This window comes from Homo sapiens, chromosome 3, assembly GCF_000001405.40.
Source record: "Homo sapiens chromosome 3, GRCh38.p14 Primary Assembly".
NCBI lineage: Eukaryota > Metazoa > Chordata > Mammalia > Primates > Hominidae > Homo > Homo sapiens.
Window position 1 is genome coordinate 127,998,478 of NC_000003.12, and position 15,027 is coordinate 128,013,504.

General features: G+C 47.6%; 1 annotated feature.

The window, feature by feature from the left end:
* Positions 13,068–13,568: an enhancer, noted in NCBI's record as "H3K4me1 hESC enhancer chr3:127730388-127730888 (GRCh37/hg19 assembly coordinates)". NCBI's record gives its function as "activates a minimal SCP1, AML or CMV promoter by ChIP-STARR-seq in naive H9 embryonic stem cells {active_cell/tissue: H9 hESC(naive)}" and the evidence as "EXISTENCE:reporter gene assay evidence [ECO:0000049][PMID:30033119]".

Consider the following 15,027-nt stretch of genomic DNA (forward strand, 5'->3'; position numbering starts at 1 on the left):
GATGTCTTCCCAACATGCATTACTGAGAAAAAAGCAGCTAGAAAACCTGCAAATGTGGTTTTCATTATCTCCCTTCCCAACTGAAGAAGTCTCTGAACTCTGTTTCAGCCTAGAGGTGACCACTGAACAGAGAAGCCTTGCTTCTCTGGGTCTTGAACAAGCTCCAAAGTAAAGGTCACCCAACCCCCAACCCCATGTGAATGCAGGGCTGATCTGTCAGGAGTCGAGGCTGTCCCCAAATGGAAGCCTTCTAGGGCAGGAACTGGCAGAACATTCTAGGACCCCGGATTCCTAAGGTTGGCTGTGGAAGCTGTCCTAGGGGCCCAGGAGGGAGAGTGCAGCTCTAAAGGCGGGCTGCCCATGGCACCTGTCTCTGTGTCCTGGCCACCTCCTCATTGCAGGCCCTTCCTGGGCCACTTTCTTGTCTCTAAATGAAGAAAAACAACATCCCATCTCATCCTTAAAATGGCTCCACTTTAAGGATTATGGTGTTGATAAAAAAACAGCAATGTAGGCTGGGCATGGGGGTTCATGCCTATAATCCCAGCATTTTGGGAGGCCAAGAGAGGCAGTTCACCTGAGATCAGGAGCTCAAGATCAGCCTGGCCAACATGGCAAAACCCCGTCTCTACTAAAAATATAAAAATCGGCCAGGCATGGTGGCGTGCACCTGTAATCCCAGCTATTCTGGAAGCTGAGGCAGGAGAATCACTTGAACCTGGGAGGCGGAGGTTGCAGTGAGCGGAGATTGCACCACTGCACTCCAGCCTGGGTGACAGAGCGAGACTCTTTCTCAAGAAAAAAATAATAATAATAAATGTATATGAAATGCCTTACAATTGGGAGTAAAATATTCAAATTTTAGGAAATCTTAATGTAAAACATCATATTAACAGATTGAAAAAAATGATCATTTCAATAGATAGCAAAAAGAGATTTTGAGAAATTCAACATACATTCTCAATTTTTAAAACTCTTAATAAAATAGAAAAACATGGACTCTTCCTTAGCACGATTTTAAAAATGTATATATTTAAAGGGCTTCCACCTCCAGTCCTGTGAGAATAACTGTACTAGACTTGCCCTCCTGCCGTAAATACCTAGAAACTGGACAAATTATTTGAAACAACTGTTTTTAGACATTGTACAACAGGCACAGTCTCTGGACTGTGATCTCTGAGAGAAGGAAAGCAAACAGAATGGTTCAATGGCTGGCCCAGCTCCCTGCCTCAGTGTAGGTGGTAGAAGCCCAAGCACAGCAAGGACTGGCACCGGGGAAAGTGATGAGCTGGAGTTTGCAAGACAGACCACAGAAGGGGAGACACAGAATGGGCAGACATGGAGCTGCCCATTCAGCACAGGGGTCCGCCTGGGTCTGTTGCTGAACGCTAAGCTGTGTGTGCGTAGGGCAAATTCTGCTGAGCTGGACAAAGAACAGCTGGGAACTTAAGCTGAAAACTTCCCAGGGATCATGCAGGGTTAGGAGACAAGCCAGAGAGGAAAGGCCACTCTCAACCCACTGTATTGGAGACAAAAAAGAGCCTCGAAAGAGCCAAGCTGATTCACAAGAAATGTAATGCCTGCCAGAACCAAGCCCAGCCATGTGTAAAGAAAAACAAGGGCATGTAGCACTCACCACGATGGCCATTCAAAAATAACCAGACGTCCAAAGGAGCAGGAAAGTGCGTGCCACTACCAGGAGAAAAATCAGTCCATAGAAACAGACTCAGGAATGCAGAGATGATGGAATTAGGAGACAAAGACTTTAGAACAGCTACTGGCCAAGTGCAGTGGCTCAGACCTGTAATCCCAGCACTTTGGAGGGCTGAAACAGGAGGATCACTTGAGGATAGGACTTTGAGACCAGCCTGGGCAACAGAGCAAGACCCTATCTCTACAAAAAATTTAAAACATTGGCCAGATGCAGTGGCTCATGCTTGTAATCCCAGCACTTTGAGAGGCTGATGAGGGTGGATCATGAGGTCAAGAGATGGAGACCATCCTGGCCAATACGGTGAAACCCCGTCTCTACTAAAAATACAAAAATTAGCTGGGCATGGTGGCATGTGCCTGTAATCTCAGCTACTCAGGAGGCTGAGGCAGGAGAATTGCTTGAAGCCAGGAGGAGAGGTTGCAGTGAGCCGAGATCACACCACTGCACTCCAGCCTGGTGACAGAGCGAGACTCCGTCTCAAAAAAAATTTTTTTTAATTAGCCAGGAGTGGTGGCATGTGCCTGTAGTCCCAGCTCCTTGGGGGTCTGAGGTGGGAGGATTGCTTGAGCCCAGGAGATTGAGGCTGCAGTAAGCCATGATCATGCCACTACATTCCAACCTGGATGACAGAGCAATACCTTGTCTCAAAAACTAATAATAGCCGGGTGCAGTGGCTCACGCCTGTAATCCCAACACTTTGGGAGGCCAAGTTGCGTGGATCATGAGGTCAGGAGATTAAGACCATCCTGGCTAATATGGTGAAACCTCGTCTCTACCAAAAAAATACAAAAAATTAGCCAGGCATGGTGGCAGGTGCCTGTAGTCCCAGCTACTCAGGAGGCTGAGGCAGGAGAATGGCGTGAACCCGGGAGGCGGAGCTTGCAGTGAGCCGAGATCACGCCACTGCACTCCAGCCTGGGGGACAGAGCGAGAATCTGTCTCCAAAAAAAAAAAACTAATAATAAAATAAGAAGCTATTAGACATATGCTCAATATGCTCAAGAATTTAAAGAAAAAAACATGAACATAATGAGGAGAAATATGGAAAATATAACCAAGAACCTAATGGAATTTCTACAGGTGAAATATACAATACCTGCAATGAGAAACGTATTGACTGAGATTAACAGCATATCACACACTGACAAAGGAAAGATCAATGAACCTGAAAACAATGCAACAGAAACTGAACTGAAGCACTGGGAGAAAAATGCTGAAATAAAATGAACAGAACTGGAAATGTTACCTGTGAGATACTATCAAACAATACATGTATCATTAGGGTACCAGGAAGGAGACAAGAAAAACATTGGAAGACAATCTTCTAAATTTGATGAAAATCATAGATGCAGAGTTCCAGGGAGCTCAAGGACCCCCGCCTGAGAAGCAGGAAGCTTTGTCCCTCAGCATCCCCTCCTGGAAGGACTTGCCCAGAGGCTGTGGGGAGCGCAGGCTGCAGAACGCCCTCAGCCACCAGCTCCTCCCCATCCCTCACCTGCAGAGAGAGCCACTGGCTAAAGGCCACACCTTCCCAGACAGCCCAGGTGACTGAGCAGGCAGGGAATGTGAAGATCTGGCCATTTCAGCTCAGCACAGAACATGCTGATGGAAGGCCTTGCTCTGGAGTCCCCAACAGGTGGGCAGAGGTGGGCAGGCCTGACCGAGGTTGAACTCCACTGCCAAGCCTGCTTCTGCCTCCTCCTGTCACAAGTGTGAAACACCTGGTGCCCCAGACTCCACTCCTTCATCTGCTTCCAGGGAAGCCAGCCTGAGACAACTAGCAAAGGCACATCCTAATGAAATGGCTGAGAATGCGAGGTAAAGGGAAACAGAAGCAAGAATGGCCACGTCCTCAAAAACTCTGCAGACAAGGAGACAATGAAACAGCATCTGCAAGAAAAAGCCGGGGATCTACAAATCTATATCCTGCAACCAAAGAAGACAAAATAGAGACTTTTCCAAACAAACCAAAGCTAGAGATTTTGCCAGCGGCAGACCTGCAATACGGGAAATGTTGACAGGAGTTCTTCACACCAAAGGCGAATGATATCGGATGAAAAGCCTGGAACTACAGGAGAGAATGAAGAGTTTGGGAAATGGAAAATGCATCACTCATATGAAAACCCTTTTCTCATTTTGAATCTCTTTGGAACATAATTGGCTCTGGAAGGTAAAACTGTTAACAATTTGTTGTTGAAGGCCAGGTGCGGTGGCTCACGCCTGTAATCCCAACACTTTGGGAGGCTGAGGCGGGCAGATCACAAGGTCAGGAGTTCGAGACCAGCCTGACCAACATAATAAAACCCCATCTCTACTAAAAATACAAAAATTAGCCGGGCGTGGTGGCACGTGCTTGTAATCCCAGCTACTCGGGAGGCTGAGGCAGGAGAATCACTTCAACGCGGGAGGCAGAGGTTGCAGTGAACCAAGATCGCGCCACTGCACTCCAGCCTGGGCGACAGAGTGAGACTCCGTCTCAAAAAAGAGCAGGATGGCAGGTATAAATACAGACATAAGGATACCTGCATTCAGTATAAATAATCGAGGGACTTGGAAAATCAGATATCAGACTGGACAAAAAAAGTGAGACTTACCTGTATGCTCTCTACCAGAAACTTACTTTAAATATAAAGACACAAATAAACTATAAAAAGATAGAAAAGATATATCATGCAAGCACTAGTCATTTTTTCAAAAGCCGGAGTGCCTATATTCTTGTCGGACAAAGTAGACTTCAGGGCAAACATTACCAGGGATAGAGATGTTTCTTAATGATAAAGGTGTGAATTTATCACAAAGACATCATAATCCTAAATGTGCATCTGCCTAATCACAAAGCTTCAAAACGCATGAAACAAAAACTGACAAACCCACAATTCTCATGTGTGATTCTCACGCAGAATTGAAAGGAAAAACAGACAAATCCACAATTCTCATGCATGATTCCCACACTCCTCTTCCAATAAGGACACAGAAGACTCGAACACGGTCAGCCAATTTAACCATCTCACGCTTAACAATGGCAGAATGTCCATTCTCAGCGCACATAGAGCCATCATCGAAATAAACCATATGCTGGACCACAAAACAAGTTTCATAAATGTTAAACGCTAAAAACAGGCAGAGTATGTTCTCTAACTAAAATATAGTTTAAAAAGAAATCAGTAACAATTAGATATCATTTAAATCCCTCACAATTGGAAATTGAACAAAGCACTTTTAATTACCCATGGGTCAAAGAAGAGATCATAAGAGAAATTAGAAATATTTTTAACTCTGTAAAAATAAAAACGTAGCCTATCAAATTTATGAGAAGCAGCTAAATCAGTTTTTATAGTGAACTTTACAACTTTAAATGCTTACATCATGGCAGGGTGCGGTGGCTCACACCTGTAATCCCAGCACTTTGAGAGATCGAGGTGGTTGGATCACTTGAGTCCAGGAGTTCGAGACCAGCCTGGCCAACATGGTGAAACCCCTTCTCCACTAAAAATACAAAAATTAGCCGGGCAGGGTAGCACACGCCTGCAATCCCAGCTACTCGGGAGGCTGAGGCAGGAGAATCACTTGAAACCGGGAGGCAGAGGCTGCAGTGAACTGAGATCATGACACTGAACTCCAGCCTGGGCAACAGAGCGAGATTCCGTCTCAAAATAAATAAATAAATGCTTATATTAGAAAAGGGTCAGAAATTAGTGAAACCAGTTAATAAATTTAGAAAGATCATAAAATACAAGGTCTATCTACAAAGAAATGTATTTTTATAAACTGGAAATGACCCACTAGTAAATGAAATTTAAAACTTTTAGCCCTTAGATGGAATCAAAAACACAAAAAATAATAAGGGATACATTTAACAACATATGAGCAAGAACTATTCACTGAAAACTGCAAGGTATTACTGACAGTGATTTCTAAGGGCCCAAATAGAGAGACACGCCATGTTCATGGACTGGAAGACTTGAACATGGGTGGGTGCAGGTGAAACAGGACTGGCCAAGGATGATGACTTTAGGGGCCAGATGCTGGGTACACGCATTATACAGTCCCTCTACTTCTATGTACATTTGAAATTTTCAGTAGAATAAAAGGAGCATAAAATATAACCTCCACATCACATTGGGCACCTTCTCCTCCTCATAAGCACTCTCTGCAGCTGCGTAGACTGCCTCGTGGATTCATGTGGGTTCTTGGAATCCGGCCACATTCAGAGACGTGTGAGGCAGGGTGGTTGGGGATTGAGGTTCTCAGTCAGGCAACTCACCCTCTCTGTGCCTCAACTTCCTCATCTGTGACATAGAGCTGCCTTCTAGTGTTGTTGTGAGGACTCAAAGGGTCCTACACCAGAGCACATGGGCTGGCTCCTGGAGAGGGGAGCTGACGGTGCATGCTGACATGCTACCATCGTCACCACCGTCATCCTCATCATGGTCATCTTCATGCTTGTTGTTCCGCTGGTTTCTGATTTCCTGCACTTGCAAGTAACACCACAGCAAACTTCTTTACGTATAAAGCTTTGCCTCCAACTCTGATGCTTTTCTTAGCCTAAATCCTAAAATACTGGATTTCTCAAGCAAAGGGCAGTCAGGCACCCACAGCAGGCAAGAACAGGGGCTGGACCAGAGCCCAACTGCCAGGACTGAATACACACAGCTGCTGCCGGAGGGCCAGCCTGCCTCTACCCAGCCCCGTCCTGGGGTCAGCGCCGCCTCAAAACCAGGCAGTGGCGATGGATGGACAGAGATAGGCCTAGGAGACATTTAGGCCTGGGATCAGAGACGCAGGTGCCACAGGGACCAGGTGGAGAAGGCAGTGCTGCATGCTCAGAGCAGCTGTGGCACACCTATGACTGAGTTTCATGCAGCAGCGATTGCGCTACACCTGGGGCAGGCATTGTTTCAATTGATCTTCAGAACTCTAAGAGGCAGTTCTAACAATAATTCCAAGTCACAAGTGAGGAGACAGAGGCACAGAGAGATCACGTCCCTTGCCCAAGATGCACAGCTAGTCACTGCTGGAGCCGGGATTCAAACTCTGGGATCGGAGTCCTGACCCACCACACTATGCCACGCCCATATGTTCATTGGAAGCCATGCCTGGGTCTGTCCCAAGAGATCCCATTTCGAGGTTTCTGACCCCAAGATGGCATTGCCCAAGGCAAACATTCCAATATTATTATTATTATTATTATTATTATTATTATTATTATTATTATTTTAGACAGAGTTTCGCTCTGTCCCCAGGCTGGAGTGCAGTGGTGCGATCTTCACTCATTGCAACCTCCGCCTCCCGGGTTCAAGCAATTCTCCTGCCTCAGCCTCCCAAGTAGCTGGGATCACAGGTGCCTGCCACTATGCCCGGCTAATTTTTGTATTTTTAGAAGAGATGGAGTTTCACCATGTTGGCTAGGCTGATCTCGAACTCCTGATCTCAAGTGATCACCCTGCCTCAGCCTCCCAAAGTGCTGGGATTACAGGTATGAGTCACCCCGCCTGGCCAAACATTCCAATTTTTAAGTGTTGACAATGAATTCTTACAAATTTAATACTACACAGCCCTCTTGCCACATTTGGCCTACGGGGTATCAGTTTGCAGCCCTGGGAAGGATGAAGCGAGGGAGAGGAAGGTAGTGCAGGCTCCTTCCCAGGGAGTGGGGACACAGAAAAAGGGGCAAGCAGCCCCATTTGTTTGCGTTTCCATACAGTAAGCAAACCTACAAAGGAATGGGCCATCCCCTGTTGCTGGGTCAGGAAGCAGGGATCACAAATGCCGGAAAAAAGAAAAAAGAAAAAAAAAACACCTAGGCACAACCTGGGCTTTCTGCCCTCTGGCAGTAGGGATGGGGTTGAGAGGCAGAGGACCAACGCTGTCACTGTGATTCCCAGGCGCACTGAGGGGAGGGGCACCCCCTGGCGACCCTCCAAGAAGCAGCCCACCCAAATTGCTGCCTGCTGCAAGGGCCAAATGCTGGGACCAGAGGGACCGGCGACCGGGGCCTTTTGCACCGGGCTTTACCCTTTAACACAACAAAACAGAGCCCAGCCTGCTAAGGAGTGTTACACACCTGCTGAGAAACCCAGCTATGCCTGGCCCTCCTCTCAGGCAGACACATTTCCCAGCCCTTGTTGTACACACGATGCCAGCCTTGGGGCCATCGTGCCTCTGTGATCAATAAAAGTAGAAGAAAGGAGCTGAGGCCACCTCATCCCCAGCTGGGAGGCAGGCGGGAGGAGAGGCCCCCAGGCAGCTCAGCTGATGGCAGCTCAGGACAAAGTCTCAGCGTCATCCTGACCCTCCTTCCCAGGCACTCCCCCTTTTTTTCCCCGCCACCACCCCCTTCCCCCCGCCCCCTGGGCACTTGGAAGAGGGGGGTGGGAAGCCGTCTTTGGGATGGAGCTGGGTGGGCAGGGAGCTTGCAGAAGGGCTGAGGAGGAGGTGGGATGGGCTGAGGGAGGAATGAACAGGGCTGCGGCCCCTCAGGGAGCTCCGGATGGGTCCTGAGCCAGGACCAGCCCTGACCTCTGGGCGAAGCCTGCCAACAGCCGGGCAACAAACCTTCCTTGAAGAGGACGCCAGGTGGAGCATCCGCAAAGCCCGTTCAGAGCCAGGCCCCGGCCACCTTTGTTTGTTGCCTGGACCATGGCAGAGGCCTCCCACCTTCCCTGGTTTCCCGCACTGCAGCCAGAGGGAATCTTGGACGGTGCAGCAGGTCCCAGGGCTCCGGCTCCCAGAGGCCGAGGTCCCTAGGGAGGTGTGTAAGGCCGTCAGCACTCTGGCCCCACCTCACCCCACTCTCCGGATTCCTCTGGTTGGTCCTCCGCCGCCATGTGCGGCTTAGCTGTTCTTCCTCTAGAACCTTCTTCCCCCAGACATCCCAATACCAGTTCCTGCACCTCTCCCAAGTCTTTCCCCCTTCTCGGGGCCCTTCCCCACCCATGCGCTCAGGATTCAACGCTGCAGGTCCTCTCCCTCCCCCTAGTGTATTCTTCTCCGTAGCAGGGTCCACCCCCTGCCCACACAGTGACTGCCTTCCAGAGTGCCCGGTAGCTATTTCAGGCTGTTCCTAGCGGTTTCCGTGGGGAAGGAGGGCCCAGACCTGCCCAGCCTCTGGCTGGGTCCCTGCTCCCTGCCTGTCGAAACTCCACCCACGGATCCTGTGATCAGTCTCTCCGGGCTCCTCATGGAGCAGAATTCTCACCCAGTGCTGTCCAGGAAAGCAGAATCCCAGCCACGTCTGCGACTTTAAAGTATGCAGTAGCCACATTTTAAAAAGTAAAAGGAAATGAGTGCAATTAATTTATATTAATTATAGTTAATTTACATACTTTTATAAATAATATACTTTATCTGACTCAATATAACCAAAATATTGTCATTTGAACCCATAACCAATATAAATATATAAGCATATAATAACTATATAAAATATACAAATATGATGGGATATCGTGCATTCTTTTTTTCATACTAGGTCCCCGAAATCCAGTGTGTATTTTACACTCACAGCACGTCTCACTTCAGATGAACCACATCTCAAGAGCTCAGTCCCCTATGGACCAACACTCACATTGTCCCCAGTTCCCCTCTAAACAATGCAGCAATAACATGCTCACACATGCCTCCTGGAAGGCTAGGGTGTGAATTCGTTTCTCTCCTGGGTACGTCCCCAGGGCAGTGGTGGCTGGCTCAGACTTAATTGGCCATGGTTTGCCAGCTCCCTCTGTAGGATGGCTGCGCTGGCCACACTTGCCCTCAAGACACAAGGGTCCACTGGCTCCACACCTTTCCACTTTCTGCATTACCCACCTTTTTTTTTTTTTTTTTTTGAGACAGAGTCTCACTCTGTCGCCCAGGCTGGAGTGCAGCGGCACCATCTCGGCTCACCGCAAGCTCCGCCTCCCGGGTTCACGCCATTCTCCTGCCCCAGCCTCCCGAGTAGCTGGGACTACAGGTGCCCGCCAACGCGCCCAGCTTTTTTTTTTTTTTTTTTTTTTTTTTTGTATTTTTAGTAGAGACAGGGTTTCACTGTGTTAGCCAGGATGGTCTCGATCTTCGGACCTCGTGATCTGCCCGCCTCAGCCTCCCAAAGTGCTGGGATTACAGGCATGAGCCACCGCGCCGGCCATTACCCACCTTTCTAATGTTAGTCAATAGGATAGCTGTAAAATGACACCTCCTTGTTATTTTGATTTGCATTTCTCTAATTGCTAATGAGTTTGGGCTGAGCTACCTTTGAAAGAATTTGTCCAGCCTAAATGAGCATCAATAACAGATTAGCTAAATAAGTCACGTTGTCCTAATTCACAGACTATTGTAGACCTGTTAAAAAGAATGGAACAAGGCTGGGTGAAGTGGCTCACGCCTGTAATCGCAGTGCTTTGGGAAGCCAAGACGGGCAGATCACTTGAGCCCAGGTGTTCACGACCAGCCTGGGCAATATGGTGAAACCTCATCTCTATAAAAAATACAAAAATTAGCCCAGTACGGTGGCACATGCCTGTAGTTCCAGCTACTTGGGAGGCTGAGGCAGGACCACACCCAGTACCACCTGCTCTGCCAGGCACTCACTGTGTGACCTTGGTTCTGCCTGTGCCTCAGTCTCCTCCTCTGCAAAACAAAAAAGGGATGAGGAGAGTCTCACAGATTGTTGTGGAGAAGAGGCATTTGGAGATGCACAGAGAGCAGCATCCAGTCACCTGCGTGCCCCAGCTCGGCTCCGATGCCAGCACTCGCTCCTCTTTGCCATACACCTTTGCTGCGCATCTACCAAATTCCAGGCACTGCTCCGGAGTCTCTCGGAACACAGAGGTGAAGTGCAAGGAAAAATAATAATCATCATATGATTATTAACCCTAGAGAAAATAAAATGCTACATAGGAGAGGGAAGGTAACCATAGATTACCATATGGCACAGCTGTGCCTTGTGTTTACACCGGTTTATGATAATATAAACTCTGAGCCAGAATTAATAACTAAAAGGAGAGAGGGATCAGGACAAGGGAGGGACAAGGACAAACTGTATCCTCAGGAAGCAGAGGCCCTCCATGCTCTTAAGGCCAGCGGCTTCCCTCAGTTGCGACAGGAACGTTCCTTGGCCTCCTGAGCCACTGAGGGCAATGCTGGGTGGCCCACTGCTTGGGTGCTGATGGCTGTCCATTTCAGGGGCATCTGAGCCAGCAGCCCTTGGAGCCCAGCCTCACATACCATAGGCCCAAGAAAGAAGGCTTATGCAAGGCCACACCTGGAGCTAGAGCAGAACCAGATGCAAACCCACCCTGCCTCTGGGTCTGGTGCTCTTTCCTCTGGCCTGCTCAGAGAGCGCAGGCTGGGACCTCGGGATATCCCTTCTGTGCCGGGATCTTTTTTTTTTTTTTTTTTTGAGACAGGGTCTCACTCTGTCACCCTCACCCAGGCTGGAGTGCAGTGGCATGACCTCAGCTCACTGCAGCCTCTGCCGCCTGGGTTCAAGTGGTTCTTGTGCTTCAGCCTCCTAAGTAGCTGGGATTACAGATGTGTGTACCACCACACAGGCTAATTTTTTGTATTTTTTAGTAGAGACAGGGTATCACCATGTTGGCCAGGCTGGTCTCAAACTCCTGACCTCAAGCGATCGGTCCACCTTAGCCTCCCAAAGTGCTGGGATTACAGATGTAAGTGCCGGAATCTTGCACAGCAGAGAGTGGGACTGGTGAAATATGCCCTGGTGCACACACACAGCAGAATGCGTGGCTGCCTACACACAGTAAAGCAAAGCTAGCTGAGTTCCTTTGGGCCCTGTTGCCCCATCTGTAAAATGAGGCTGTGCTAGTGCTTGTGGGCTATGTAAGGGTCCCCTGCATTAATATAGATAAAGCGCATCATTACCATCCTCCTCCCCTCCACTGAGGAGAGACAGCCTCCATGGTGCAATGCCCAGTGCCAAAGGCAGGTGAAGAACTCAGCTCACACCCTGGCTCTGCTGGTGGGGTGTGGACAAGGCCCTGAACACACACATCCATGTGTGAATGTATGAGGGGGTGCTATATGGATGAGTGTGGGCACATTGTGTGTGGCAGGTGTGTATACGTGTGTATGTATAGTTGTGGGTATGTATTGGTGAAAATCATAATCTCCCATGACACAATCCTGGATGCCACGATCTCGAGTGTTGAAATCCTGAAAGATCAAAACTCCAGATGTTGAAATCCTCAAAGTCAAATTCTAGGAAAAGGATTAGTGCATTTCAGGATCATTGCATCATGTTGGTTGCATGTTGGGTGGAACTATTGCTTTGTTATCTTTGTTTGGAAATTCAGTGTGGTTTAAGGAGATGTGTTTGGGTGCCAAGTTGACAAGCCTGGCTCTGCTGTAGACTTGAGAAACCTGGTAGGCATTATTTTGGGGGTGTCTGTGAGCGCGTTTCCAGGGGAGACGAGTGCGTGAGTCTGACTGGATCAGGGGAAAGATCTGTTCTCGGTGTAAACAGGCACATTTATTTATTGCGCAGATAAATCCCCTTTTAAAAATGTTAATAAATGTCTTTTAGAGAATTCTAAAATTATTTTTTCCAGAATTACGTTTCGGGGATTTTTATCTTTTGAAATTTTGATTTTCAAGATTCTATACTCTAGGGATTTTGATCTTTCAGGATTTCAGCTTTCAGGATTATGGAATTTGGAACTGTCTTTTGGTACTATGGCCCAAACTGGTGTGCATACGTGTGTGTGTGTGTGTGTTCATGAGTGTACATATATTGTGTATATCTGTGTGTGAATGGGGTATATGTACATATGTGTGTATATGAGTATGTGTGTGTGTTGTTGGTAAACACAAATCTAGAGAAAAAAATTGTATTTTTTCCGGTGCAAAGAAAGGGAATAAGGCACCCCCTCCCACTTCCTACTTCCTTTAATAAAGCTGAAATTGTAAACGCTACCTCTGTCTCCTTGAGATGTATGTAAATTTATTTTATTGTATCATTATTATTGCAGTAAAGAAATAGTTTATGACCCGAGGCCGGCCACCCTGGAGATTGAGTTATCACTCAATCTCGCTGAGGAGTTGGGGGGGGCTTTCAAGGGTTTTGGAGTGGTGATCGCTGATTGGTTAGGGATGAAATCTTAGGCGTGGGAAACCTCCCTGAGTCCGCCTCAGTCTGGGATCCTCTGACAGGTTTTGCAGCCCCGGGCTCCTTCTCTCCGCCTTGGAAACAGCCAGGAGGTGGCGCCGGATCTCCCCCATCCTCAGGAGTGTGAGGCCCAGGTGCTCGCTTCAGGAAGTAAACTTCTTGTCAAAAGACAGGAGGCATTTGGGAAATTAGCACGTATGGAGTGGGTGGTGTCTGCCAGGCTATGAAAGCTCTTTTTCTTTGCAATCTCTTTAGCCGACTGTCTGTGATGCACACTGCTGTCTAGTTGTAGCAAAACTAACTTCCTGTTACCTTTGTGGAGAGGTTTTCTGGGTTGACAGATTTTGTTTTTAATCATTTTCCCAATGACATGTGTGTGTTTAAGATATGTGTCTATGGCGGCGGTGGGAGCGGGAGAGTGTCCTAAAAAGCCGGTTCAGTGCACACCTCTAGGACTGGTGGAACTGAAGCTGGAATCGGGGATGGGAGGGACAAACCAGTTTTTTCCTATACACTCTGTGTAGCAACAGAACTAAGCACGTGCATGTGCCTTGCATCACAGTTCACTTAGCAACGAGCTGCATCTATGACTGTGGTCCCATAAGATGATAATGGGACCGGGCGTGGTGGCTCACGCCTGTAATCCCAGCACTTTGGGAGGCCGAGGCGGGTGGATCACCTGAGGTCAGGAGTTCAAGACCAGCCTGGCCAACATGGCAAAACCCCGTCTCTACTAAAAATACAAAAATTAGCTGGGTGTGGTGGCGTGAGACTGTAATCCCAGCTACTCGGGAGACTGAGGCTGGAGAATCGCTTGAACCCGGGAAACGGAGGTTACAGTGAATCGAGATCGTGCTACTGCACTCCAGCCTGGGCAACAGAGTAAGCCTCCGTCTCAAAAAAAAAAAAGGACCTAAAAATCCCCCTCGCCTAGTGACGTCACATCAGCTATGACGTCATCGCACACATTCCTCTCTGTGTGTGGTGATGCTGGTGTACACAAACCCACTGCACTGCCAGTCGGATGAAAGCCCAGCACATGCAATTATGTACAGTACATAATACTTGATCCTATTAATAAACGACTGTGTTACTGTCAGAGGCATTGAAACCAGTGCAAATCCATCTTGAGTAGGGACTGGGTAAAATAAGGCTGAGACCTACTGCGCTGCGTTCCCAGACAGTTAAGGCATTCTAAGTCACAGGATAAATTAGGAGGTCGGCACAAGATACAGGTCATAAAAACCTTGCTGATAAAACTGGTTGCAGTAAAGAAGTCGGCCAAAACTCACCAAAACCAAGATGGCCATGAGAGTGACCTCTGTTCGTCCTCACTGCTACACTCCCACCAGCGCCATGACAATTTACAGATGCCATGGCAACATCAGGAAGTTATCCTACATGGTCGAAAAGGGGAGACAAGAATAATCCATCCCTTATTTACCATATCATCAAGAAATAACCATAAAAATTGGCAACTAGCAGCCCTCAGGGCTACTCTGCCTACAGAGTGGCCATTCTTTTGTTTCTTCGCTTCTCCAATAAACTTGCTTTCACTTTACTCTACAGATTCGCCTCGAGTTCTTTCTTGCCCGAGATCCAAGAATCCTCACTTGGCATCTGGATCATGACCCCTTTCCAGTAACATTACCAGTTTATGTATTTACTGTATTTTACTTTTTAATCATTATTTTAGAGCATACTCCTACTTATTAAAAAAAAAGTTAGTGATAAAACAGCCTCAGGCAGGTCCTTCAGAAGGGATTCCAGATGAAGGCATTGTCATCACAGGAGGTGACGGCTCCATTAGTGTTACTGTCCTTGAAGACCTTCCAGTGGGACAGGAGTTGGAGGTGGAAGGTAATGATATCACTGATCGGGACCCTGTGTAGCAGGTCTCAGCTAATGTGTGTGTTTGTGTCTTAGTTTCTGAAAAAAATGTTTAAGAAGTAAAAAAAAAAAAAAAAATTAATAGAAAAAGGTTTATACAATAAGAATATAAAGAAAGAAAATATTTGTGTATGATTGTACAATGTGTTTGTGTTTTAAGTTAAGTGTTATTACAAAAGAGTTGAAAGTGGCTGGGCATGGTGGCTCACGCCTGTCATCCCAACACTTTGGGAGACCAAGGCGGGCAGATCACAAGGTCAGGAATTCAAGACCAGCCTGGACAACATGGTGAAACCCCATCTCTACTAAAAATACA